This window comes from Homo sapiens, chromosome 10 (assembly GCF_000001405.40).
Source record: "Homo sapiens chromosome 10, GRCh38.p14 Primary Assembly".
In the NCBI taxonomy this organism is placed as follows: Eukaryota; Metazoa; Chordata; class Mammalia; order Primates; family Hominidae; genus Homo; species Homo sapiens.
The window spans coordinates 72332672-72358272 of record NC_000010.11 but is presented as its reverse complement, the minus strand read 5'-3'; the positions used below and the strand labels follow the sequence as shown (position 1 = coordinate 72358272).

General features: G+C 52.2%; 1 protein-coding gene across 5 annotated transcripts, besides 6 other annotated features; it reads left to right on the top strand.

The window, feature by feature from the left end:
• Window positions 3128-3377: an enhancer, noted in NCBI's record as "active region_3549". NCBI's record gives its function as "activates an Ori minimal core promoter by ATAC-STARR-seq in GM12878 lymphoblastoid cells {active_cell/tissue: GM12878}" and the evidence as "EXISTENCE:reporter gene assay evidence [ECO:0000049][PMID:35858748]".
• Window positions 3354-25410, top strand: DNAJB12 (DnaJ heat shock protein family (Hsp40) member B12). 5 transcript variants are annotated; one of them, NR_157570.3, is made up of 9 exons: window positions 3354-3508; window positions 13146-13323; window positions 14762-14907; window positions 17103-17288; window positions 17405-17484; window positions 19962-20071; window positions 21577-21749; window positions 22342-22670; window positions 23656-25410. NR_157570.3 is itself a non-coding variant. In NM_001365080.3 (9 exons), exons 1-9 carry the CDS (start codon window positions 3376-3378, stop codon window positions 23683-23685), a joined length of 1134 nt encoding a protein of 377 aa, NP_001352009.1. In that variant the 5' UTR covers window positions 3354-3375; the 3' UTR covers window positions 23686-25410. The 5 variants fall into 5 exon arrangements, 4 of the variants coding, with proteins under 4 accessions (NP_001352009.1, NP_001352010.1, NP_060096.4 ...); NM_001365080.3 differs by having other exon boundaries at window positions 22342-22439; NM_001365081.3 differs by having other exon boundaries at window positions 22342-22487.
• Window positions 3768-3897: an enhancer, noted in NCBI's record as "active region_3548". NCBI's record gives its function as "activates an Ori minimal core promoter by ATAC-STARR-seq in GM12878 lymphoblastoid cells {active_cell/tissue: GM12878}" and the evidence as "EXISTENCE:reporter gene assay evidence [ECO:0000049][PMID:35858748]".
• Window positions 13026-13285: an enhancer, noted in NCBI's record as "active region_3547". NCBI's record gives its function as "activates an Ori minimal core promoter by ATAC-STARR-seq in GM12878 lymphoblastoid cells {active_cell/tissue: GM12878}" and the evidence as "EXISTENCE:reporter gene assay evidence [ECO:0000049][PMID:35858748]".
• Window positions 13356-13465: an enhancer, noted in NCBI's record as "active region_3546". NCBI's record gives its function as "activates an Ori minimal core promoter by ATAC-STARR-seq in GM12878 lymphoblastoid cells {active_cell/tissue: GM12878}" and the evidence as "EXISTENCE:reporter gene assay evidence [ECO:0000049][PMID:35858748]".
• Window positions 22367-22486: an enhancer, noted in NCBI's record as "active region_3545". NCBI's record gives its function as "activates an Ori minimal core promoter by ATAC-STARR-seq in GM12878 lymphoblastoid cells {active_cell/tissue: GM12878}" and the evidence as "EXISTENCE:reporter gene assay evidence [ECO:0000049][PMID:35858748]".
• Window positions 23047-23456: an enhancer, noted in NCBI's record as "active region_3544". NCBI's record gives its function as "activates an Ori minimal core promoter by ATAC-STARR-seq in GM12878 lymphoblastoid cells {active_cell/tissue: GM12878}" and the evidence as "EXISTENCE:reporter gene assay evidence [ECO:0000049][PMID:35858748]".
• Window positions 25411-25601: the final 191 nt, after the last annotated feature.

The following is a 25601-nucleotide window of genomic DNA, read 5'->3' as shown; positions in this document are numbered from 1 at the left end:
CATGATTCTTAGCAGGAGACAGGAAGATGGAAATTGTCGTGCTAGGTCAACAAACCTCAGAGAGGCTGTTTGAAAAGGATCCCAGCATTTATCCATGGACACATTAGGGACCTATCAATTTGTAGAGAACTTAAATTTCTCCAAGTGTAGGACTGTCTTATCAAGGAGGGTCTGTACCAGGCCAGCATGGAGTCGTAAGGGTTTGCATTGGAAAGGGAAAAATGGGAATGGAAAGGAAGGTTGGATGTGAAAGAATTTTCCAAGGAGCATGTATAGCTGAGGAGGCCATGACCTTGCTTCTTTCTTATGTGTGTATTTATTTATTGAGACAGGGTCTGACTCTGTGCCCAGGCTAGAGTGTAGTGGGGCAACCATGGCTCCCTGCAGCCTCGACCTCCCAGGCTCATAATCCTCCTGGGTAGCTGGGAGTACAGGCGCATGCCACCACACCTGGCTAATTTTTGTAATTTTTTTTAGTAGAGATAGGGTTTCACCATGTTGGCCAGGCTGGTCTTGAACTCCTGACCTCAGGTGATCCACCCACCTCACCCTCCCAAAGTGCTGAGATTACAGGTTTGAGCCACTGCGCCCAGCCACCTTTACTCTCTTGAATCCATTCCTGTTGGGTTTTCACCCCTACCACACACTAAAAGCCATTTTATGGTCAGGCACAGTGGCTCACACCTGTAATCCCAGCACTTTGGGAGGTTGAGGTGAGAGGATCACTTGAGCCTAGAAGTTTGAGACCAGCCTAGGCAACACAGTGAGACCCCATCTCTAAAAAAAAACTTAAAAAAAAAACTAGCCAGGTGTGGTGGAGCACTCCTGTAGTCCCAGCTATTCAGGAGGCGGAGGTGGGAGGATTGCTTGAGCCCAGAAAGTTGAGGCTGCAGTGAGCCATAACTGTGCCACTGCACTCCAGTCTGGGTAACAGTGAGACCCTGTCTCAAAAAAATAAAATGAAATAGATAAAAGCAATTTTGTCAAAGTCAACACTGCCCTCTACACTGCCAAATCCATTGGTCATTTCTCAGGCCTCACATTGCTTGGCCTCTCCACAGGATATGACGTTTGACCCCCCCTCCCTCCTTTTCTAAAAAAACTGTTTGTAGAGACCGTGAGGGGGGGCGGTCTCATTATGTTGCCCAGGCTGGTCTTGAACTCCTGGGCTAAAGCGAGCCTCCCACCTCAGCCTCCCCAAGTGCTGGGATTACAGGCATGAGCCACCATACCTGACCTACTCATTTCCTTACAACCTGCTTCTTCACATTCTCCTTTACTGGATTTTCTTCCTCTTCCAGATCTTTAAATGTTGGGATTTCGTGAGGCTCAGTAATCAGACTTCTCTGCTCTTCTCCATCTACACTCACTTCCTTGGTGCATATATATATATATATATATATATATATATATATATATATATATATATATATATATATATATCACAGCTCACTGCAGCCTTGACCTCCCATGCTCAAGTGATCCTCCCACCTCAGCCTCCTGAGTAGCTGGGACTACAGGCGTGTACTACCACACCCAGCTAATTTTTTATTTTTTTGTAGTGATGGGATCTCACTCTGTTGCCCAGGCTGGTCTCAAACTCCTTGCCTCAAGTGATCCTCCCACCCCTGGCCTCCCAAAATGTTGGGATTATAGGAGTGAGCCACTGTGCCTGGCCCCAAAGTTATATTTCCAGGTCCTTTTTGCCTAAACCCTACGTATGTACAACATCCTAGTCTGTATCTCTGCTTGATTCTAAAAAGCATCATAAACTGAATCAAACCCTTAATATTCCCCCACCAAACTGCTTTTGTAGTCTTTTCCATTTCCTTGTTTTAGTAAATAGAAATTCTCTTCTTCCAGTTATCAAGCCAAAAACATTGGAATCATCCTTGAATCTTCTTTCTCTCACAGCCCACATCCATTGCGTCATTCTGTCTTCAAAATATATCCAGAATTTTACTACTACTCACCACCTCCGCCATCACCCTTATCCAAGTTACCATTAATTTTCACCTGTATTATAATAGTAGCTTCCTGACTCTCATCCGGATTACTGTAGTAGCATCTTACCAAATCCTGCCTGAAAGGCCAAGCAATGTAAGGGCTGACAGATGACTCGGGGATTCGGCAACGTGGAGGTCACTGGCAACCTTCACAAGATTGCTTTCACTGGAGTGATAGCCCTCGAAGAACGGGATAATGATAGAACTGGATTACACTCTGTAGTAGAATCTTTTTTTTTTCTTCTTTTTTTTTAGATGGCGTTTCACTCTTGTTGCCCAGGCTGGAGTGCAATGGTGTGATCTTGGCTCACCGCAACCTCCACCTCCCAGGTTCAAGCGATTCTCCCGCCTCAGCCTCCCGAGTAGGTGGGATTACAGGCCATGTGCCACCATGCCCGGCTAATTTTGTATTTTTAGTAGAGACGGGGTTTCTCCATGTTGGTCAGGCTGGTCTCGAACTCCTGACCTCAAGTGATCCGCCCGCCTCGGCCTCTCAAAGTGCTGGGATTACAGGCGTGAGCCACCGCGCCCAGCCTGTAGTAGAATCTTTACGCTCCCTAGAATGTATTCGCCTTCCTGATCTGTTATAACTCACCAAGAGAATTCCCTTTTCAGAGCCTTTGCACTTGCTGTTCCTTCGGCCTGACCACCCTTCCTCCAGACAGTCACATCTACCTGTTATCGTTCCTGAATTCTGGTACCTGTTAATGACAGCTTCTGAGAGGTTTCTTTTATCGCGCTATTTAAAATAGCGCCTCCCACTCTCTATCCCTGTGTTTTCCATAATTTTTCTTCAGAGCTTTTATCACTATCTGAATCTATCTGGAGCTCCCCCAGCCTACACACACTGGAATGTAAGCTCCATGAGAGCAGGAGCTTTGTTTTGCTCACCCCTGTATCCCCATCATAAAACCATGCCTCACAAACAGTGGGCACTCAATATCTGTTCAGTGAATAAATAACCTTTGTCTGAAACGTATGTAGTTACATTACGTATATAGATCACCACTTAGTAAACCGTCTGGGAATAACAGGCACTCCGAAGGCCCCAGTCTCATCCCGACGGCTACCACGTGACCTTCCTGAGCTTGGGTTTCCTCCTCCGGAAGATTAGAGGGTTGGCGCATACTCAACTCTAAGACCTCCGGAACATGGAATCTGGGCGTGCACCATTATTGACACCTACACCAGCCGTCCCTTTCTTAGAAGACATACGGTAGCACTTCCACCCTCGCTCAAAACTCGGGAAAGGAGGGGCGGAGGGTGGATGTCATCACTCCGCGCCCGGCTGCCCGCGACGCGCCGGCGGGTGGCGCAGCCCTTCGCTCGCCCGGCCTCCCCCTCCCTGGTTCCGCGTTCTGGTTCCGCCATGGAATCCAACAAGGATGAAGCTGAGCGCTGTATCAGCATCGCCCTCAAGGCCATCCAGAGCAACCAGCCCGACCGGGCGCTCCGCTTCCTGGAGAAGGCACAGCGGCTGTATCCGACGCCGCGAGTTCGCGGTGAGTGTGAGGTGCCGGAGAGACTGGGGACATTAGAACTGATGGGGGGAACACGGGAACGGACCGACGGGAGCAGTTGGGGGAGGGGGAGGGGTGGCGAGGCGCGGCTACGCCTGCGCACTGAGGCGCGCGGTGGCTGCTGGGAGGCGTAGTTTTTCCCTCTTGTTCCTCTGCGGGATGCGAGCCGTCTGGAGACTCGGGCGGCCGGGACTTCAGCTTTCGGGGTGCTGGCGGAGCCCGCTGGGGTTTGAGGTCTCCGAGAATGAAACGCGCTGGCAGCCGGGACGAAGGGAACTTACCTGGAAGTGAACTCGAACTACTTTTCCCAAGGGGCCGTTCGGTAGCCCAGGCCAGTCGCCGGCCTGGGAAATATTACAGTTCAGGAAAATAAACATAACTCCTTTAAGGGAGAGAATGGGCGCTAGACAGGGAGACATTTCTGTTCTTCGGGCGCCAGGGAAAGGCGCTTCCGTATCTTCACTCCCTCTCACCTCTCGGGCTGAGGGTCAGGGACCACTCTCCCAAAATGCAAGCCGGCCTTTGCACCCACCCCAGTCCGCCGCCTCGGACTGTCCTGAAGCCGGGCCCCTCACTCCTCCCGATGATGAGATTCGGAGCGGGTGGCCTGGTGGGAGGTGCTGACCTCAGCCACCGCCAGTCCTCCATCGCCCGCAAGAGTCCAGCGGCGGTCAGCCATGTGGACGCCGAGGCTGCTGAGTTGCCCTGGACAGGAGCCTCCTGAGCCAGGGAGGGAAGAGTGAAGCTGGCTTTACAACTCATCACCTCGCTTCACCCGGGAACCCTTTCTTTTTTCTTTAACCTAAGTTTTCCAAGGAGTTTTTCTTAATCCACGCTAGAGGGGAGAGAGACACCGGGTGGTGCTTGTGATCACCACTCAGTAAACCGTCTGGGAATAACAGGCACTCCGAAGGGCCCAGTCTCATCCTGACGGCTACCACGTGACCTTCCTGAGCTTGGGTTTCCTCCTCGGGAAGATTAGAGGGTTGGCGCAGATAATGTGATTGGCAATAATACCCATAGGGCTTTGCAGTTTAGGAAGCTCCTTCACCTGTGCCTTCTCACTTGAGCCTGCCAGTCAGGGATGCAGAGCAAAGATCATTATCTTTATTCTATGGGTGAGGAAAATCTCTGAGGTAAGGGATGCCCAGGATGACACAGCTAGAAAGTAAAATGTTCTGTGACTCTGTAAATGTTTATGAAGGAAAAGAAATGAAATTGAGGAACAGCAGTCAGCCTCCTAACCGGCCCTGCCCGCCTGATGAGATTGAGAAAGCGGAACGCTGGTGGAAGAGGTAGCCTGGACTGCTGAACTTTCCTCCCTCCGGACTCTTGCAGGTTGATCTTTGGCCTGTTTGCCTCCCCTTGGAGAGGGTTTCGGGCTGTATTTGCCAGGACACCTGAGGTAACCTGCTCGAGGAGCCTCCCTGTGAATTAATTCATATTCTGTGGTGGGGTGGTATCCTCCAGCTGTCAGAATTCTGCCTGACACTGATGCTGCTGCGGGCTCAGGAGCAGGCAGCCAAGAAAGGATGGGCCACAGGGCCTCTGGGGATCTTTCTGTCAGCAGGCCCCTGCACCAGTTCAGGAGCTTGAAGGAGTGTCCTCTCTGGGGCTCAGGCTCTGGAATTTGCTGAGACAGAAGAACCACCTGCATGCATATTTGTCATATTTGTGCTTTTCTGGAAAGACTATGAGACTATACGCCTTATGCATCCGTGTAAACTTTACCATCTGCAGCCCTCCACTGAGCTGACAAAGACCTGGGATTAGTTTAGGTCTGGGACAGGGAAAGATCTTACTTCAAAAATAGAGGGCAGGGCTACCCACTGGGCTGGCTACCTGCCTCCCCAGGGGGAGTAATACAGATATATTAGGTGGCGGTCTATTGCTTTGGGTTTAGGCTCATCCCAGATGCTCATTCAATGCAGCAGACTTTTGTTGAAGATCATTTATGTTTTGTTTGCAAAGTCCTCTGCTTGGTGCTAGCAAGATTGGTAAAATGTGATCCCTCACCTCAAAAGAGCTTATAATCTAGTGAAAGAGACAAAACTTACAGAAACAAATATTACAAGACAGAACTGTAATTAAACAAAAAATAAACCCAAGGTTAGACGCTGAGGACTTAAGGACAGGCATGAAAAAATCAGGCCCCATCATCCATGGGTTCACAGTCTGATGGTGGGGAGGAGGTGCGGAGGACAATCTCCTGAACATTAAATTATCAGCAGTTTAGTGAGTGCTGTAGCAAGTGCATAAAAATAATGTTATCTCACAGTGAGGGAATGCTTTGGGGATGACAGGAGTTAACATTTGAATTGTGCTTTGGAGGACGGTGTGAGACTTGAGGAAAGGCATCCTGGAAGAAGACAAAGGAGCTGAAAGTTGTAACGTTTGGGGGAAGAGATCAAAGTGTAGCAAGATTTAGAGGCAGTGGAGGTGGTAATTCGTATACAGAGAGGATTAAGTTTGGGAAATAAAATGGGGCCAGATCATAGAAATCCTTTTCTACCAGGCCAAGATATTTTCACCTTATTCTGTAGTTAGTGAGGAAACCATTGAGGTTTTTGATAGCAGGAATAAAGTACGGGCACTGTTGTTAAAAGAGAACAGCATGAAAGGTTAATGAGAGGGAAGAGAGCTTCAGGGCAGGAAGCCAATAGGAGAGAATTGCCTTGAGCTGGTTGGATATTCTGAGGGCCTGGGACAAGGCAGTCATGGATAAGGCTAAGGTCCCTGGAAAAGAGGCACCAGGCCTGTGTGAGAGAGAGGTGCAGAGGAGAATCAGATGGGATGCTGGGGAATCAGAATTGAAGCCCCTGTGACCAGGAAGAAACCAGGCTGAAGAACTGAGATGGGAAGAGATGAGCAGAGTGGGAGGTGCCAGTGGGATAGTCCAAAGGAGCTGTCAGCCTGGAACTCAGGAGAGCGCTCCAGGTTACAGGTGAAAGTGTGGTATCGTCTGTTCCCTGGAGCTCACTGGAGTTGTGCATGGCTGAGGTCACTGTGGGAAAGTATAGACCATGGAGAGAAAGTTGCTGCAGGCACAATGGCAGGCAACACCTGCCCTGAGCCCACAGGCAAAGGCAGAGGAAGCAACAGATTGAGATGGAGCAACAGGAAAAGGCAGTCCCCGGAGAGGGCAGCGGCCAGGTAGCCATGGAGAGGTAATGGCAGCAGGTGGTGAGCAGCCCTGTGTGATGCCGCAGGCACTGCATGGGAAAAGGACAAGTTAAGAGTTGAAAAGGGAAGGATCGAGAGCATGGGCAGAGGATGGTCTTGGAGAGGTGGAAGGGCAGAGAGGGGAGAGTCACGAGAGAGGGGAGGCTCAGAGCAACCTTGAAAGGATGAGGGACCTCACACTGTTGGCCTTTGCAGCAAAAAGGGATGTGAGGGGGCTTGAAACTCCTGCTGCAGGAGGTGGGACAAGGAGGCACTGAGTTAAACTGCAAAGCAGTAGCTGGGCCCTAAGCTGGGAGGTCACAGACTAGAGATGGTGGAGCCAGTCAGTCCCTTTCTGGGAGTTTCTGTCCAGTAGCTGGCAGCCTGGTAAGCCATTGGCTTTGACTCAGGCTTTGTAACAAATGTGGAAGGTGCCAGATTTCCCAGGGAGCTCACGAGAGCATTTGTAGGCCTCAGTTTCCCCAGCATACAAAGAGAGGATTGGCTGGGATGATCCTGAGGTTCCTTGCAGCTCAGGCTATCCAATGTTCTGTGAAATGGTTGACTCTGGGCTAAGTCATGAAGGCCAAGCTGGGAAGGCCAGCCCACAGGAAAAGGAGACGGATTGCTGAGGGATTCTGCATTCAGAGTCCAGGAGTGAGAGATGTTCTGGTGCTGGCGAGGTCCGGGGTGGGGTTGTACCCTTCAAGTCAGTCAACCTTCATGAGCCCCACTGTGCACTTAGCCCCCTTCCATTCACTGTATTTCACAGAATCTTATTTACCCCTCAGAGCACTCCTATGAGAGCAGAGATCGTCTCTCCACTCAGGAACCAGCTAACCTGGCAAGGCCACATGGCTAGCCAGCAAAGACCCAGAGCTGTCCATCTCCAATCCCAGGCCCTTTTCTGACTCACTGTGAGCACCGTAGGTACACAGAGCCCAGAAACTCAGCTACTCACTTACTAACAAAGTCACGGTCAGAGACAACACTGTATATTTGCTGGGCATTGGGCTGAGTTTTTTGCTGGCATTCACTCATTTCCTCTTTTAGCCTGTATGATGGAGATAGAGTTTTGCACAGATGAGCTAAGTTACCTTGTCCAAGATGACCCTTCTAGCAAATGGCAGAGCTAGGTTTGAACCCATCGGGCAGTCTTTTTTTTTTTTTTTTTTTTTTTTTTTTTGAGACAGGGTCTCACTCTGTTGCCCAGGCTGGAGTGCAGTGGCACAATCACAGCTCACTGCAGCCTCAACCACCCAGGCCCAAGTGATCCTCCCACCTTAGCCTACCAAACAGCCGGGACCACAGGCATGTGCCACCACACCTGGCTAATTTTTTTATTTTCGTAGAGACAGGGTCTTCCTGTGTTGCCAAGGCTGGTCTCGAACTCCTGAGCTCAATCCATTCTCCTGCCTTGGCCTCCTAAAGTGCTGAGATGACAGGTGTGAGCCACTGCCCGGCCAAATCTAACTCTAGTCTGGGTTCAGTGGCTTTGGCCATAGAAATCCTCTCAGCTCTACCTCAGGTGCCTCTCCACCGCAGCTCTGTTCTCTTCTATCGAATTCCCTTCCTTTTCTAAGTCTGCCAGCTTTACTGAGAAGGTAACATTAAGCTGTTCTGTCTCTTTTTGTGACATTGCCTGTCAGCCTCTGTGCCATGAGGGATGTAAGCATGAAGCTGTCACATCCCCCAGGCCAGAAGAGAGACCCTACTTGCCAGCAACTGGAAATCTTTAATTTCCAACTCAAGCAGAAAGCTTCTATGTGACCCAGGGCACCCCCATTCTCCTTTGGGCTCTCTTTCTGTACTGTAGGGAAATTAGAGTGGCTGATTCCCTGTAACTGCCCTGAAAAGCTTCCAGAATCTTCTCTGAGAGGTACAAGAGAGAGCCTGTCCCATCTCCTGGCTAGTGCTCCTGCTCATCTCTGGTAGTTGAATAACTGGTTATTTTGCCCTTAGGATCTGCCAGGCTCAGCCTGGGCCACCAGAACTTCCAGAGGAACTGAAATAATAAAGAGCTTCTTGAAAAGCTCTAGGAAACAGCATACTGCCTCCTCCTCCTGCCCCGCCTTGACCAATATCTCTTCATCTTTCGGTTTCTCTTGCCATCCCCTTGGTAGCTGGCATGGACCTGGTATCTGGGATGGCCTGAAATCTCATGGTTACTACTGGTTCCAGAGTCTGCTGAGCGCTGAGTCTTTGCCTTCCTGAGCCTTGGAGCTCCCCCGCTACCCAGCCCTCCTCCTCCCCAGCCCCCACCACAGGTTCCCTCACTTCCCTGGCCAGCCCACTTCTGTGGCCAGACACTTCATCAGCCTTGAACCTTCACTCTCTGTCAGACTCGGCACAGGTGCTTACACACATTATCCCATTTCATCCTCCGCCACCGTGACGAAACCAGGGTTCAGAGAGATTTCATAGATCAGCCAGGGTCACACTGCTAGGAATGGCAGAGCTGAGATTTGAATCTGGGCCTTTCTGAATTTGATGTCTCTTCTATGCTTTTGCTTGCATCCCTGTCCCCGATCCCCACCCCATCAGACACGTGCAGCCCAGGATAGCAGCGTAGTTAAGAGCATGGACCCTGGAGCTGGACATCCTGGGGTTCGAAGGCCCCTCTGCCTCCTAACCAGCTGTGTGGTCATGGCAGCAGTCTGCCACAGTACCCTCTTCCTACAGTGGGGTGGGGTAGGTAATGAGACCTTCCTTCTAAGGCTGCTGTGACAATTAAATGAGCTAATGCAGATCACTGTGAAAGTACCCACCTGACACACATCACTGGGTAAGAAAAATGATTGTTGCTATTGTTCCTCCCCAAGCACCCTCTCAGGGTTTGCTACAGGAGCCCGCCTCCCTTACTCAGAGCAACCCCAGCTGTGAGCTCCTGTGTTTGGATTTCCCAGTTGAAGACTCAGCAAGATCACACAAGCTCGGAGTGCGGCAGCAGTGGCCCAGGGCACAGTGCTCCACTGGAGCCCCATACTCTGTTCCCAGTGAGACTGGCTCTCAGCCTGTTGGGTCAGACCTCAGTGGGTCGCACTGGTGGGTGTGGCACCCAGCATGGCGTCTTCAGGCCAGCAGGCACCTGGCGTGTTTGAAGGAATGTGCTGGGATGTGCTGCTGTCCTTCCTTAGCACAGAGGGATGCTGGGTCCCTGCAGTGATCCAGATGCCTGTTTTCCCAGCTGGTCAGCTTGTCAGAGGCTTTAGGATTTTACTACCCAGGGCGCTGGGGCCCAGGCCTGACTGAGGTTTCGTGCCTGGAATAAATGGACACAGGGACCTGCTGCCAGAGACTTGGGCCCTTCCTCATTTAATCTGCAGGAACCACAGGCTTGTTTTTGCTTGCTTTTGTTTTTTTGAGATGGAGTCTTGCTCTGTTGCCCAGGCTGGAGTGCAGTGGCACAATCTCAGTTCACTGCAACCTCTGCCTCCCGGGTTCAAGCGATTCTGTGCCTCAGCCTCCCGAGTAGCTGGGATTACAGGCGCCTGCCACCACGCCGGCTAATTTTTGTATTTTTAGTAGAGACGGGGTTTCACCATGCTGGCCAGGCTGGTCTCAAACTCCTGACCTCAGGCGATCTGCCCGCCTCAGCCTCCCAGAGTGCTGGGATTACAGGTGTGAGCCACCATGCCTGGTGGGCTTGGTTGTTTTTGTTTTTGTTTTTCTGAGACAGAGTCTCATTCTATTGCCCAGGCTGGAGTGCAATGGCATGATTTCGGCTCATTGCAACCTCCGCCTCCCAGATTCAAGCCATCCTGCTGCCTCAGCCTCCCTAGTAGCTGGGATTACAAGCGCCCACCACCATGTTCGGCTAATTTTTGTATTTTAGTAGAGACGGGGTTTCACCATGTTGGCCAGGCTGGTCTTGAACTCCTGACCTTGTGATTCGCCCGCCTCGGCCTCCCAAAGTGTTGGGATTACAGGCGTGAGCCACAGCGCCCAGCCGGGCTTGGTTTTCAATAGCCATGATGCTGCCGAGGGTGATAGTTAATGTCCTGTATAGACTCCAGACATTGAAGAGGACATTTGGCATGGCCAACCACTTGCATTAGAAAAATGTGAAAAATAGCAAGTTGTGAGCACAGCAGATACTTCTTTTGGTCTCCTACCATCTGTGTCCCCCTTGGGCAAACTCATTTCCCCCATTCCTCTTTACAGCTAAGCAAAGGCCTCCAGGAAGGCTTCCTGACTGATCCCACCTGAAACAGAGGGTCCTGCTAAGCGGGGTCCCCTTTGCAGGGTACTTTTCCCAGCTTGGCACTCAACATGCCAAGTCTGTTAAACTCACTACTTTGAGATCTTAAAAATCTGAAGGGTTGACTGGGCACAGTGGCTCATGCCTGTAATCCCAGCACTTTGGGAGGCCAAGGCAGGCGGATCACTTGAGGTCAGGAGTTCGAAACCAGCCTGGCCAACATGGTGAAACCTCATCTCTATTAAAAATACAATTAGCCGGCGTGGTGGTGTGCACCTGTAATTCCAGCTACTTAGGAGGCTGAGGCGGGAGAATCGCTTGAAACCGGGAGGCAGAGGTTGCAGTGAGCTGAGATCATGCCATTGCACTCCAGCCTGGGCAACAGAGTGAGACTCCGTCTCAAAAAAGAAAAAAAAAAAAAACCAATGGTAAAAATAGGGAGTAGTGCAGTGGACTGAATATTTTACTTATTCAAAATGTGGTGCAATGCAAACATATTTGCAGATTTGAATGAGTTCAGTAGAAAAAAATGGATTCATAAGTTGGATTCATAAAAGCAAAAAGCAGAGTAAAACCAAATACACTGAAAGAAATAGCAATTAAAGTAGTATTAAATGAACTCTAGCAAGGCACGGTGGCTCATGCCTGTAATCCCAGCACTTTGGGAACCCGAGGTGGGCAGATCACTTGAGGTCAGGAGTTCGAGACCAGCCTGGCCAACATGGTGAAACCCCATCTCTACTAAAAATACAAAAATTAGGCCGGGCACGGTGGCTCACACCTGTAATCCCAGCACTTCGGGAGGCCGAGATGGGTGGATTGCTTGAGGTCAGGAGTTCAAGACCAGTCTGGCCAACGTGTTGATATCCCATCTCTACTAAAATACAAAAATTAGCTGGGCATGGTGCTGGGCGCCTGTAATCCCAGCTACTAGGGAGGCTGAGGCGGGAGAATTGCTTGAACCCAGGAGGCGGAGGTTGCAGTGAGCTAAGATCATGCCACTGCACTCCAGCCTGGGCAACAGAGCAAGACTCCGTGTCAAAAAAAAAAAAATTAGCCAGGCGTGGTGGCACGTGCCTGTAGTACCAGCTACTCAGGAGGCTGAGGCATGAGAATCACTTGAACCTGGGAGGTAGAGGTTGTAGTGAGCTGAGATCGCACCACTGCACTCCAGCCTGGGCAACAGAGTGAGACTCTATCTCAAATAAACAAACAAATAAAAAAAAATAACTCTAAATAAAGTACTATAGGGTTTATTAATAAAACCAAGTGTGCTTTTGGAAGACTATCAGAATATCAGAATTCTGCCTAAATTTATTAAGAAAAGAGATATATGTATAAGTATACTATCTGAAAAATAAAGCAATTACTACAGATTTATCCATGAATTATGTAGAATTTTATGTCAATTTTTATTAACAAAATTAATTTTGTTCATGTAAAACGAAAAAGACCTCTATCCTGCCTACTTTTTTTTTTTTTTTTTTTTTGAGACAGATCCTTGCTCTGTCGCCCAGGCTGGAGTGCAGTGGCACAATCTTGCTAATCTCCACCTCCTGGGTTCAAGCAATTCTCATGCCTCAGCCTCTCAAGTCTCTCGAGTAGCTGGGATTACAGGCGCCCACCACTATCTCCAGCTAAATGTCTTTTGGGGTTTTTTTTTTTGTATTTTTAGTAGAGATGGAGTTTCACCATGTTGGCCGGGCTGGTCACAAACTCCTGATCTCAGGTGATCCGCCCGCCTCAGCCTCCCAAAGTGCTGGGATTACAGGCGTGAGCCACTGTGCCCGGATTTTTTTTTTTTTTTTTTTTTTGAGACAGGGTCTCACTCTGTCACCCAGGCTGGACTGCAGTGGCACCATCTTGGCTCACTGCAACCTCTGCCTCCCTAGTAGCTGGAATTACAGGCGCCCGCCACCACATCTGGCTAATTTTTTAATTTTTAGTACAGACGGGATTTCACCACATTGGCCAGGCTGGTCTCAAACTCCTGACCTCAGGTGATCTGCCTGCCTCAGCCTCCCAAAATGCTGGGATTACAGGTGTGAACCACCACGTCCGGCCTGTCCTGCCTACTCTTAAGGACTATGGCTTTCAAGAGAGCAGATGACTGTCCCCCCAGCACCCACAGGCCTAATCAGGGCAGGAGCTGGTGGCTTTGCTGGGAGGGGAAGTGAGTGGGAAGCAGCGGGCCGCTCGGCGAGGCACGCAGCCTGCTTGAGCAGGAGCTCTGAATGGTTTCCTTGCCTTGCACAGCCCTGATTGAGTCCCTCAACCAGAAACCACAGACTGCCGGTGACCAACCCCCACCCACAGACACAACCCATGCCACCCACAGGAAAGCAGGTGGGACCGATGCCCCCTCGGCCAACGGTGAAGCTGGAGGAGAGAGCACCAAAGGCTACACTGCAGAACAGGTTGCAGCTGTGAAAAGGTAGATGGGTGGGCAGGGGCTGGAGCCTGGGGAGACTGGGGAAATCTAGAGGCTTCCTGGAGCATGTCCTCCACCTCCCATCTGCCTGTGGGCAGCACAGGGCCCTGGGAGGGTCTTGGAGGATGGAGAAGGTCCAAGGGTCCAGGCTCACCAGGACCTCTCCTTATTTCCCTCAAGGCCCAGGAATACAGTGTGGGAACTGGGGCTCCACCACCCCTCCCGCCACGACCCACAGCAGAGGCTGGAAAAGCTGACACTGCCGGCTTCCTCTGCCGCTGGCCAGGCAGGCCCCAGGCCTCTTTACACAGCTCTGTTTGTCAATAGAGATGGAGCTTTGTCTCCCCCTCCAGATTCTACCCCAACCCACATCCCAGCACCCAACAAAGACCCTTTTAGATCAGAGCCTGTGTGGGGTAGAATGGAGACCAGAGGCAGAGTTATTGCCCCACGGCTGTGAGCAGGCCCCACGCAGAGTAGCTCGCTACCAGGCCAGAGACCACCCAGCCAAGGCTCCTCAGGCTTAGACGTTCCCAGCTCCCATTTCTCCCCAGGTCTCCCAGCAGCTGGCCTTGGGAATCCCCCAGGGTCATGCCACAGCTCCTGGCAAGCTTCAGGACCAAGGCCGCCTGTGTGAGACTGAGCATGACTGCTGTTTGCCATAAAAGTGTAGGCGAGATCTGTACTTCACTGAGTCGGCAAGGTCCATTGTAGGCAATAGAAACTGATGTATGAGGGATTGGGAAGGCCTAGAAACGGCCAAGAACCAGGAGGTCTCCAGGGACGCGGAGAGGAAGAATTGGTGAAAGAGAACCAGGGTCTCTTTAGGCCCTGTGCTTGCGGTGAACAGTCACCTGCCACTTCTGGCCTTCATGTTACCCACTCAAGACTCAGATTGGGCTGAGCATGGTGGCTCATGCCTGTCATCCTAGCACTTTGGGGGGCTGAGACAGGAGGATCCCTTGAGCCCAGGAGTTTGAGACCAGCCTGGGCAATTAGAAGACCCTGTCTCTATCTTTAAATATTTAACATTTTAAAAACTTTTAAAAATTAAAAAAAAAAAAAGACTCAGATTGCCAGGAGAGTCGGTTGGCTGAGCTTGGGACACCACCCTGGGTGATGGACACCGACAGTCCTCCTGAGCTCTTCCCATGGGGAAGATAGATACTGGCCTGGCGAACCCCACAGATGCCCTCCTAAATCCAAGAATCCAGACGGTGTTCTTCTGTTTCCCGTGGTCCTGCCCAGCTCTGCATCACATTTGGTGCCCACTTGGCTCCCTTGTCCCTGGTGTCACACAGCTGACCCAAGGAGCTGTCAGCCTTGCCCTGTTGGTCCCCCGCAGCCTGCCCAGAGCTGTGCGCCCCACACGGCCTGTTCATCGCCCCCCTCACACAGACCCATGTAGAGCACCCCGTACCATGGTCTCCTCCTTCCCCAGGGTCAAGCAATGTAAAGATTACTATGAGATCCTGGGGGTGAGCAGAGGGGCCTCGGATGAGGACCTGAAGAAGGCCTACCGCAGACTGGCCCTCAAATTCCACCCAGACAAGAACCACGCACCTGGTGCCACTGAAGCCTTCAAAGGTAAGCCAGCCCTGCTTTCCTAGCATTTTGGTGTGTTCATCTCCTGTCCATGGCAGGGAGTAAGGGACCAAGACAGCTTTCCCAGGAAGCAGGGAGCAGGAGGAAGTGGCCTTGGGCCCAAGTTGCCCAGGCTTGGGAGCTGCTTCTTGGGAAAAAGGTTCTAGTAGCCACCTCTAGCTATGTAGAGTTGGTCAGAGCTCAGATAGCACCATTCCTGCCCCTGCTTCCTCTGCATTTCCTGGGGTTACGTAGTAGAGCTGAGGCAGGAAAGTTCTAGTAGCTTCTCCAAGGATTCTCAGTGATTGAGTGACTCACCGTGTGCGCTTCCCTGTCTTAGAGTCTCATAGCTGCCCACTGGGGTAACTGTTTCCCTGCTGAGGGGCAGGGTAGCCCCAGGTCGGGGGCCTCAGGCCTGGTGGCCACCTCAATACCAGCAGCCACAGCCAGCTCCCCCGCCATACCTATACACCTGGGGCTTGCAGTGGGGACATGGCAGTCTCTGGCTTCAGGGCCCACTGGCTCAGGATGGGTGCTTCATTTCTGGCTGAAATCGTAAGCTGCCCTTTATTCATTACATTTTCATTTAACCTGTCAGGCGCTCATGTGTACTGACTCTGTGCACTGCAATTTCTCATTGCCCCAAACATTACTGCCTTCTCTCATTCCCACCATGTCTTCCTTCTCTCATTCCCACTTCATCCACCTCCTTGGGAAATAGCATGGTGACTAGCCCCCACTGGCCTGGGCGGGGTGTGTGCTGTGCTGCACCCACAACCATAGCCAGCTGGAGAGCCTGTGGCAGAGGAGACTCCGAGACCTGGTGTGCAGTGTCCCGGGGCCCTGGAGGAGGAGAGTGGGAGTGGGGGGAAGCAAGGTAGCCCTGTTGAATGTTTCTCCAGCCCCAGCCTCTGCCTGCAGCCTGCTCCGACTGTACCGAGAGGCCAGCTCTGGCCTTGAGGCCTATTCAGAATTGGCGGAGGAGACGATTCCGCGCTCCTTATTCCCGGGGGTTTCAGGATGGGAATCAGATGTGGCTTGGACCCACTCCTCGGAGTCAGTGGCAGCTTGAGGAGAGGGAGTGAGAGACTGAGGAGGTCAGAGCTGGGGTCCTTCAGGGCACAGCCGTCCCGGCTAGGGGGCCCTGGTGGGAGGCTCCAGGCCCAGATAGGAAATAACGGTTGGGGCCTGGACCCCAGAGAGTGGGGGACTCACCCCAGCTGCATCACCAGAAGTGGAGGAGTCTCCATAGAGCCCCGAGATTTGGCCCTTCCCCACAGCTCCTGCTGCTTTCCAGTTCACAATAAGGATATTGTGTGTCTGTCTGGCCTGCATGTCAGACTATGACTTCAGGTTTACAGAACCTCCAGAAAGGGATGCCCATCCTATTGGGCACGTCAAGAGAGAATGAGGAAAGAGGTTTTTGGTGGTTTTCATAAAGTCGGAGAGAGAACTTGAAGCAAGAGACACCTGCTTTTGTTTGACTCCCAGCTCTGTAACATATTAAAGCTGTGTAAGCTTAGGCAGTCACTTCTCTGAGCCTCAGTTTTCTCATTGGTGAAATGGAGATAGGGTTGCTCTTAGAGGTAAATGAGTTGACCTGGTGTGGTGGCTTATGTCTATAATCCCAGCACTTTGGGAGGCCAAGGTGGGAGGATCCCTTGAGCCCAGGAGTTTGAGACCAGCCTGGGCAACTTGGCAAGACCTCATCTCTACAAAAAATACAAAAAATTAGCTGAGTGTGGTGGTTCACGCCTGTAGTCCCAGCTACTCAGGAGGCTGAGGTGGGAGGATCGCTTGAGCAAAGGAAGTTGAGACTGCAGTGAGCCACGGTTGCTCCACTGCACTCAGCTTGGGTGACAGAGTGAGGCCCTGCCTCAAAAAATAAAATAAACAAACAAAAAGAAGTAAATGAGGCCACACTCCTAGGAGGCCTGGCACATTGACAAAGCTTGACCATTGTCTTGAGGAGAACAAGGAGCCTGTGTTACCCTCCACCCAGCCAGGCTGCCCAGATCCACTGAGGGGTCTTCCTGCATGCCCCCTCCTTACACTGGCCAAGCTTCCTGCCCACCCCAAGGACGTCTGCTTCCTAAAGCACTGCTTGAGTACCTGAGAAAAGTGAGCACTCGGCTGCCATGGGAGCCTCCCCCCGCACCCCAGGATCCTCAGGCCTGACCTTTCCTCCTCCTCTCCAGCCATTGGCACAGCATATGCGGTACTCAGCAACCCGGAGAAGAGGAAGCAGTATGACCAGTTCGGCGATGACAAGAGCCAGGCGGCCCGGCACGGCCATGGGCATGGGGATTTCCACCGTGGCTTTGAGGCCGACATCTCCCCTGAAGACCTCTTCAACATGTTCTTTGGCGGCGGCTTCCCTTCTAGTAAGTTCCCCACCCTCCCCACAGCCAGGTATCCCTGGGGTGATGGTGGGAATGGCATGCCAGCCTCTCCCTTTCCCAACAGACCTGGCTCCTGACTCAGCCCCTCTGACCCCCAGGTAACGTCCACGTCTACAGCAACGGCCGCATGCGCTATACCTACCAGCAAAGGCAGGACCGCAGGGACAACCAGGGTGATGTGAGTGAGGAGGGCGCCAGGGACAGCGCGGGAAGGGCACCAAATCCACCCCAGGGAGGGGGCTTGGAGGAGGGTGTTCCCTCCCACACTGTCCATTCTGGGACCAGCAGAGTCCCCATAACTCTCAGCCAAGGAGCCCTCTGGGCCTCCCTTGCCATTCTGCTGAGTGACACCAGAGGGCGCCACACGAGGGAGCCATGCTCCACATTGCCGGCGGGAGCGCGGCTTTGCTGGCCTGGCTGGGGAGTGGAACCAGAAACCCCACCCACAGCCAGGTTTGAGTGTGAGGCTCCCATGCAGACCGCTCGCTGGTAAGGCCAAAGTGACATCCTCTAAGCAATGGAAAGTTACACTTTGTGAGAGAATTTTATTTTATTTTTCATTTTTTTCATGGGTCTCAGCTATTTTCTCTCAACTTTGTGAGAGAAATTTCTTTTTTTTTAATTGAGATGGAGTCTTGCTCTCTCGCCCAGGCTGAGTGCAGTGGCGCGATCTCGGCTCACTGCAACCTCCGCCTCCCGGGTTCAAGCCATTCTCCTGCCTCAGCCTCCCGAGTAACTGGGATTACGGGTGCGTGCCACCACCCCCGGCTAATTTTGTATTTTTAGTAGAGATGGGGTTTCACCATGTTGGCCAGGCTGGCCTTGAACTCCTGACCTCTGGTGATTCACCCGCCTCAGCCTCCCAAAGTGCTGGGATTATGGGCGTGAGCCACTGCGCTCTGCCACTGAGAGAATTTTAAAGGATGACAACATAGGTGCCGACTCTTCTTGCTAAAAAGCCAAAAGATACTTTTAAAAAGATATTTACAAAAATTTGGGAGGCCAAGGTGGGTAGATCACCTGAGGTCAGGAGTTTGAGAGCAGTCTGGCCAACATGGTGAAACCCCGTCTCTACTAAACATACAAAAATTAGCTGGGCGTAGTGGCAGGCGCCTTTAATCCCTACTCGGGAAGCTGAGGCATGAGAATCACTTGAACCCAGGAGGCAGAGGTTGTGTTGAGCCGAGATCGTGCCACTGCACTCCATCCTAGGCAACAGAGCAAGACTCCGTCTCAAAAAAAAAAAAAAGTATAAAAATTATAACTAGACAGTGCTTCAAACACATTTTGTATGCCACAGATCAAAGAACAGCTAGCTGGCTAAAATTAAAATATTGTGGACAATTGCAAAACATTTTAAATTCTGGCCAGGCGGAAGGGGTTTCCTTTTGCTCTGACAATATTTATTCAATTTTTTTTTTTTTTAATTTTTTGAGATGGAGTCTCGCTCTGTTGCCCATGCCGGAGTGCAGTGGCACAATCTTGGCTCACTGCAACCTCTGCCTCCCAGGTTCAAGTGATTCTCCTGTCTCAGGCTCCTACGTAGCTGGGAGTACAGGCGCCCGCCACCACACCCAGCTAATTTTTGTATTTTTAGTAGAGACGGGGTTTCACCATGTTGGCCAGGCTGGTCTCGAACTCCTGACCTCGTGATCTGCCTGCCCCTTCCTCCCAAAGTGCTGGGATTACAGGCGTGAGCCACCATGCCGGCCTTTTTTTTTTTTTTTTGAGACAGGGTCTCGTTCTGTCACCCTGGCTAGAGTGCAGGAGCCTCCCCTCCCAGGCAAAGCTCCCACCTCAGGCTCCCCAGTAGCTGGGACCACAGGCCCACACCACCACACCCAGCTAATTTTTTGTATTTTTTGTAGAGATAGGGTCTTACTTTGCTGTTTGAGCACAGGCTGGTCTCAAACTCTTGGGCTCAAGTGGTCCTCCTGCCTCAGCCTCCCACAGTGCTGGGATTACAGGCATGAGCCATTGCCCCTGATCAAAATTTTTTTATTTTGTATCTAACAACAGAAGAGTTTAACATCACAGATTATCACACAGTGAATATATTTGTTAATTTTTATTTCTAATTCTTCTTTTTTTGTTTGTTTGCTTTTTCTGCACCCTAGAACCAGTGCTATTTCTAATTTTTATTTTGTTTTAATTATTATTTTTTGTAGAGATGGGGGTGTATGTTGGCCAGACTGGTCTTGAACTCCTGGCCTCACGTGTTCCTCTCATGTTGGTCTCCCAAAGTGTTGGGATTACAGGCATGAGCCGCCACACTGGCCATAATGTTTAAATTGGTAATATATTTGTGTGGTTCACATCTCAAAAACTTGTATATACTGCATGTCTCCTTCCAGCCCTGCCTTCCATTCTCCTGGAGGAAGCAACTTTTGCTGATTTTTTTTTTTTTTTGGCATTCTGTCAAAAGTAAATGCAGACACCTCACTTCCTCCTGTATTTCACACCAGTTGCTGCTTTGTTTTTATCTGGGAAAGCTGGCAGGTGAAGGAGCGTCTGTGTTTTGGAGCCTCGTGGAGGGAACGGCAGAGTGGTGTCATGTCTCCCCAGGCTCCACTATTCTAGGGGAGCTAGTGGTGATTATGGCTGACACCACACCCCACCCAGGTCCAGCAGAGTGACATTGGCTCTTCCCTCCAGGGCGGGCTAGGGGTGTTTGTGCAGCTGATGCCTATCCTCATCCTGATTCTCGTGTCAGCTCTCAGCCAGCTCATGGTCTCCAGTCCACCCTACAGTCTGAGTCCAAGACCGTGAGTACATGGGTGAGGCCGGGCCATGGGCAGACAAGGGGCTTTAAATTCTCAGCCCCATCAGGGGCCTTCTTTCCCATCCTGATCCAGCCAGTGTGCGATCATAATGCAGAAACCTGGCTTCGAATCAAGAAAATATACTTTCTCTATTCAACTAGGACTCTTAAGCTTTTTAGGATTATGGTCCCCTAAGAAATTGCAGCGAGAGCTACAGAACTTTTCCCTAAAACTATGCACACATGTGCACACACACATACACACACACGATACACATGTACACACACACACAATACATGCACACACATAATACACATGCACACATACACGCACACATATACACACAGAGTTTTGCATATAATTTCGGCGGCTTTGTGACTCTTCCCTGCCCATCTCCCCTGCCAACCCTGACGAAGAACCTCTGCTCCTCGGCTCTGGTTGGGCTTCCTGAGGCTGTGGAAAGAACAGGGCACTAGAGTCAGACAGAGCAAGCATGGCTTAGAATCCCAGCTTCTCCACTAAGAAGCTGTGTGACCCTAAACAAGTTATATAACCTTGGTTTCCTCATCTATAAAATGGGAATTATAACATCCACCTGCTGTGGAAATTAATGAGTAATGCATATAAAATGTCTGGCCCACTAGAAATGCTCAACAATATTAGTTTAATGAATGCTTAGTCTCGACTGCCAGGAGTGAACTTGAGGACATTTCATGAGCCGTTAGGGGGTCAGCTCCCCTCACTGATGTCCAGCACCTGGCCCAGGGTCAGCTACACAGTGGGTGCACATCTTCAGTGGGGTGGGTCCCCCTCTCCCAAAAGGTGGCCACCTCTGGCTGGGAGCTGGCAGGACCCTTCTCAGCCAGCAGGGGGCAGAGTCGGTCCACTGGACCCTGGCCGCCGGCTCAGGCTCCCTGTGGCCAGATGCCAGCCCTTTTCCCTGCAACTGGAGAGATGTGAGGAGCAGAGGACTAGGGCAGGGACTGTTGTCCCCAGAGCACTGGTCCTGTCTGGGTGTCAAGGCTCTTCCCACAGCTGACAGAGCCTGTGATTGGAGCTGGGAGGATAAGGCTCCCTGGAGCCCTTCCTGTCATTTTGTTCCTAAGCCTCTTAACCCTACACTGGGAACTCCTAGATAGGCAGGCAAGCACTCAGCAACAATTGGCTTAGGGGATGAATGGGGAGATGGAGGCACAGAGGCAGAGCCCAGATTCCCTCTCAGGTCTCCAGTTCCCTAGACCAGGCCTCTCCCCAAAGGCCCCAGGTCAGCAGTGTGGTAAGCAGGGATCTAAAGGCAGGGCGTCCTGCGGTCTGGGCCACGTGTGTGGGAGGACGCTGCCTTTTCCTCAGACTCTCCTTTCAGGGAGTGTGCGGGTCCCTGCTCTGGTTTGAGAGGGAACCAACTACTCCTCTGGTCTGTGCGGCACCTCCTGTCTTGGGGCCCATACCCCTAGAGTGCCCTGGGCATGGGGACCCGCACCCACTTTGAACCTGGTATTTCTGGCCAGGTCCGTGGGCCACATCCACAGGCGAGTCACTGACCACCTGGGTGTCGTCTACTATGTGGGAGACACTTTCTCCGAAGAGTACACAGGCTCCAGCCTCAAAACAGTCGAGCGGAATGTGGAAGATGATTATATCGCCAACCTCCGGAACAACTGCTGGAAGGAGAAGCAGCAGAGTGAGTGTGGGGGGAAGGCGGGGGCTGTATTTGGGAGGTGGCTTGGGATGAAGCTGGAAAGCAGGGGAAGGAGAGAGCCCTGCTCACCCTGTGCTCTGAGGGCCCAGCCCCTGGCACTGCCCTGCACCAGCCACCTCCCAGACAAGAGCTGGTCTCCACTCCTGTGTTTCTCCGGGGCTGGGAGCCAGGGGCCACCTGGTAGTTTCCTCAGGTTCCCGTAAATCACTGCCATCAGCCCAGCATGTTGGCTGCCAGAGGTGAGTGTGTAGAGATGGACTGGAGCGGATGGATCCCTGGCCACCCCCTGACTGTGCTCCTGGATCTGTCTGTGGGACCCTGGGGAGGCCTGACCAGGATGACAGGGTCTCACCTTGGCTGGCCTCACTGCATTCTAGAGAAAGGCGCCTCTGTCACCCTCGCCCACATAAGGACTGTAGTCTCTGCTCCTCCATGGTCTTCCTAATGGGAGGCCAGCCCTGCCCAAGCCCCGGGCATGTACCAGCTTTCCTCCGCCCTCCACAGCCCTCGCAGGCTTCCTTGCAGGCTTCGGGAGGTACTGGGTGTGCACTAACCCTGTCCCATTGCTTTGCAGAGGAAGGCTTGCTGTACCGGGCACGCTACTTTGGCGACACAGATATGTACCACAGAGCACAGAAGATGGGCACCCCCAGCTGCAGCCGACTGTCAGAGGTGCAGGCCTCCCTGCATGGATAGTCCTGGGCCAGCCACACCACCGAGGTCCAAGTATGAGCCAGGGCTGCCTCCACCCTGCAACTCCTGGCAGCTTTGGCCCTGGTCATGAGCAGAGGAGGGAGGGGGAGAAAGGGAGGAAGCCTGGTGATTGTGGCAAAGACTCCTGTCCCCAGCCTGACCTCCAGCCTCCAGAGACCGAGCAGCTGTGGGGCCTGCTGGGAAACCAAGGTCGGTTTCCGCCCTCTAGCGATGCTGTCCTCCCCACTCCTCCGCTCTGCTCCCTGGCTCCAGGGGTGTGGGGGACCCCAGAACCAGGCAGAGTGGGAACTTGAAACTGTTGCTGAGGGCCACCCGGGGCTTCTTGGTCCACTCCAGCCATCAGTCAGCACGGCCCTTTCTCCAGCACAGCAGACTATTGTCCGTGCCCTGGTATTTAGGCCATCACATATGGTGGGGCCCAAGAGAGCCCCATATGCACACTGCCTGCCTGATACCAGGAAGAACCATGTGGGAATAGGTGGGCCAAGAGCCCTCCCCTTTCTCCATCCCTCCAGCTAGGAGGAAATGGAGCAAGATGAACAGGCAGCCACGAGGTGGGTGGGAGCTGGCAGTCTTGGTGGCGGCAGGGGCCGCGGGCCCTGACCACCCCCCTCTGGTGGGATCTGAGGCACTCTCTCGAATGCCGTCACACCTGGCAGCCTGGAAGCCACAGGCATCCGGCCTTGCCCAGGCATCTCGCCTGCGGTCTGAGGAAGGGAACAGAAGGTCATGAGTTCAGGGTCAGACGCAGCCGCTCAGCACAGGAGGGGTGGAGGGGAAATGAGAGTTGCTGGTAGCAGGCTCCCTCCTTCTGCAGCCCGGCGAATGGGGGCGCTGGGCTCTGTTCCCAGCGTTTGCCAGAGGTGGCCACTTCAGCCAAGCCCAGAGAAGTGTGGGCAGAAGCAGTGAAGGTTCTTCTCTGTGTGGGTGCCCTGCCCACCCCCTCCTTTGCCTGTGTCCTCCCGGCCTGGATCCATGGCTGACTCTGCCTGGAGGCCATTTGTGCCTGCCTCTGTGCTGCCGCAGGAGGGCAGGCCGCAAGTGGGGTTGGTGGGGGTCGAGCGGGCAGCACGGTGCAGCGGTGCAGTGGCAAGGGGGGCTACTTGTGTGGCATAAGCTAGAGGAGCCGGTGCCGCCTGAATGCCGAGCTAACTGTTGCCACTCTCCTCCCCAGACTATGAAATCCCTGGAGAATTTTTGGTGACATGCACTGAGCCAAGGTGATGGACTGTATATTTGAGGAAAGACAAACAAAGAAACAAAATTAAAATGGAATTGGAGGCCGAACGCTGCACAGCTGCCCTCTCTCTCACCCAGTAAATGCAGAAAGCTCTTAGGACAGACAGAAAACCTGCCATGGGGCTGCTTCCCTCCCTCGCAGGGCTGGCGGAGGCTCCGCATCGCCTCTCTCCTAGGATACAGAAACCATGGCAACGAAAGTAGAATGTAAAACTCGCAGCAGATATCAGTGGGAAGGGCTGGGGGAGGGGGCACCCAGCTGCCTTTCCTCCCTCACAGGAGCCACCACCAGCCACCTCTCAGGAGAAGCCAGAGGCCCTGGCCAAAGATAGGAGGAAGAAAGAGAACTCTCCATAGAATGTAATTTATAGATGCGTGTATATGTATATATATCTATTTATATGTAAATAGGCATATATGAAGATATATATATATATAGTCTACTTTTTAAACTCTGCAGGGATTTGGTTAAGTTGTTGAGCTGATTTCTTCCATGTTTTAGAAAATGAGGCCTGTTTGGGGAAGGTACCCTGGTGATGTTTTTGCTAGACATTAGCTGTAGCTGACAGCATAAGGAGAGTCGCATCAGAGCTTTTCACAGCCCCCCGAAACCCCAGCCTGGTTTTGATGGCAGCAGTAATCATGATAGTGTGAACCCGCGAAGGCCTCAGGATTATGGTTAACCTGGAGAGGAGCAGGCCATGGAGGCAGGTGCCAGGTCAGTATTGAGTCACAGTAGAGGCCCCACAAGGACCTGCTTGGGTGAGACCACCTCTCCCCTCTCAGCAGCGCTGGTGGGCTCTTTGTCCTGGTGCCCAGGAGCCCTCCAGCCCCCTGCCCACAGAAGGGAAGGCCTGCAGAGGGGGCCAGGATCTACCTAACCATTTCCCCACCCCTAAGTCCCTCAGTGGGCTTTGCCTTATAGGTGCCACAGGGCACAGCTCCATCATTGCCACTGGTTTTTCCTAAGTCATGCACCAAGGACTTCAGAAAGTTCTTCCTCCGAGTCAGTCAGTGGTGCCGGGACCCCAGGGCAGCCTCCTCGACTCCTGAAGAAAAGGCAGTGCCCGTGGCTGCCTCTGTCTTCACTCGCTGTTGATGTGACCGCCAGGCCTCCTCTCGTACCTTGGACAAAGGATACACCTGAACCAGAATAGTTTTCTTACCCTCACATTGAAATGAGGATTTTGCTTAAAACAGCACTTGCCGCCAGTGGGAGGAGGGAGGTTTTATTTATTCCCACAGTTTCTCCTGGGCCTTCTGGAATGACCATGTTTTCCTGTGGCGGTGGGTGTGTCATTGCGCCCGCCGTCTTCCAAAGCCTTACTTCCCCAAGCTGCCAGCCAGGAGGTGATAACCACCCTCCCAGAGTTTCTCTCGGCTCTTTTTTTAAAAGTCCCCCAACAAATAGGATTCTTGCTGGGAAAGGAAGTTCGGTAAGGAAATGTCAAATCTGGTTTTTAAACAAGGTCCAACCCTGCAATGAAGCAGCCACTTCAGCCCAGAGAGATTATAAGAACTGATGTGGCCAGAGTGCCTACCCACTGTGGCCCCGGTGCTCTGCCCCCACGCCCCGACCATCTGGTCTTGGTAGATGTCCCTAGACGGGCTGAGCCATGTGCAATAAGAACATAGATCCTAAAGGATCCTCTGGAAGCTGTATTTCTTGAATTAGAATTCTCAAATTGTACATCTGTTAATATATGTTTATTATGTGACTGGCCGTGGTGGGTCTGCATTGAGCAGGGAGGCCTAAGGGGTGGGGGGGAGGGGGCACAAGCCCCTGCTGCTGCTGACACTGTCCAGCCTGTGCCACAAGGAGCTCTAGATGATGAGCCTGAATTTCCCCCGACCCCTGGCCCTGGCTAACAGCCACTTAAG

Coding starts and splice junctions, on each gene's coding strand:
- DNAJB12 (NM_001365080.3), top strand. CDS start 3,376: ATGGAATCCAACAAGGATGAAGCTGAGCGCTGTATCAGCATCGCCCTC. Junction 3,509..13,145: donor TCCGACGCCGCGAGTTCGCG/GTGAGTGTGAGG, acceptor TGCCTTGCACAG/CCCTGATTGAGTCCCTCAAC. Junction 20,072..21,576: donor TACAGTCTGAGTCCAAGACC/GTGAGTACATGG, acceptor ATTTCTGGCCAG/GTCCGTGGGCCACATCCACA.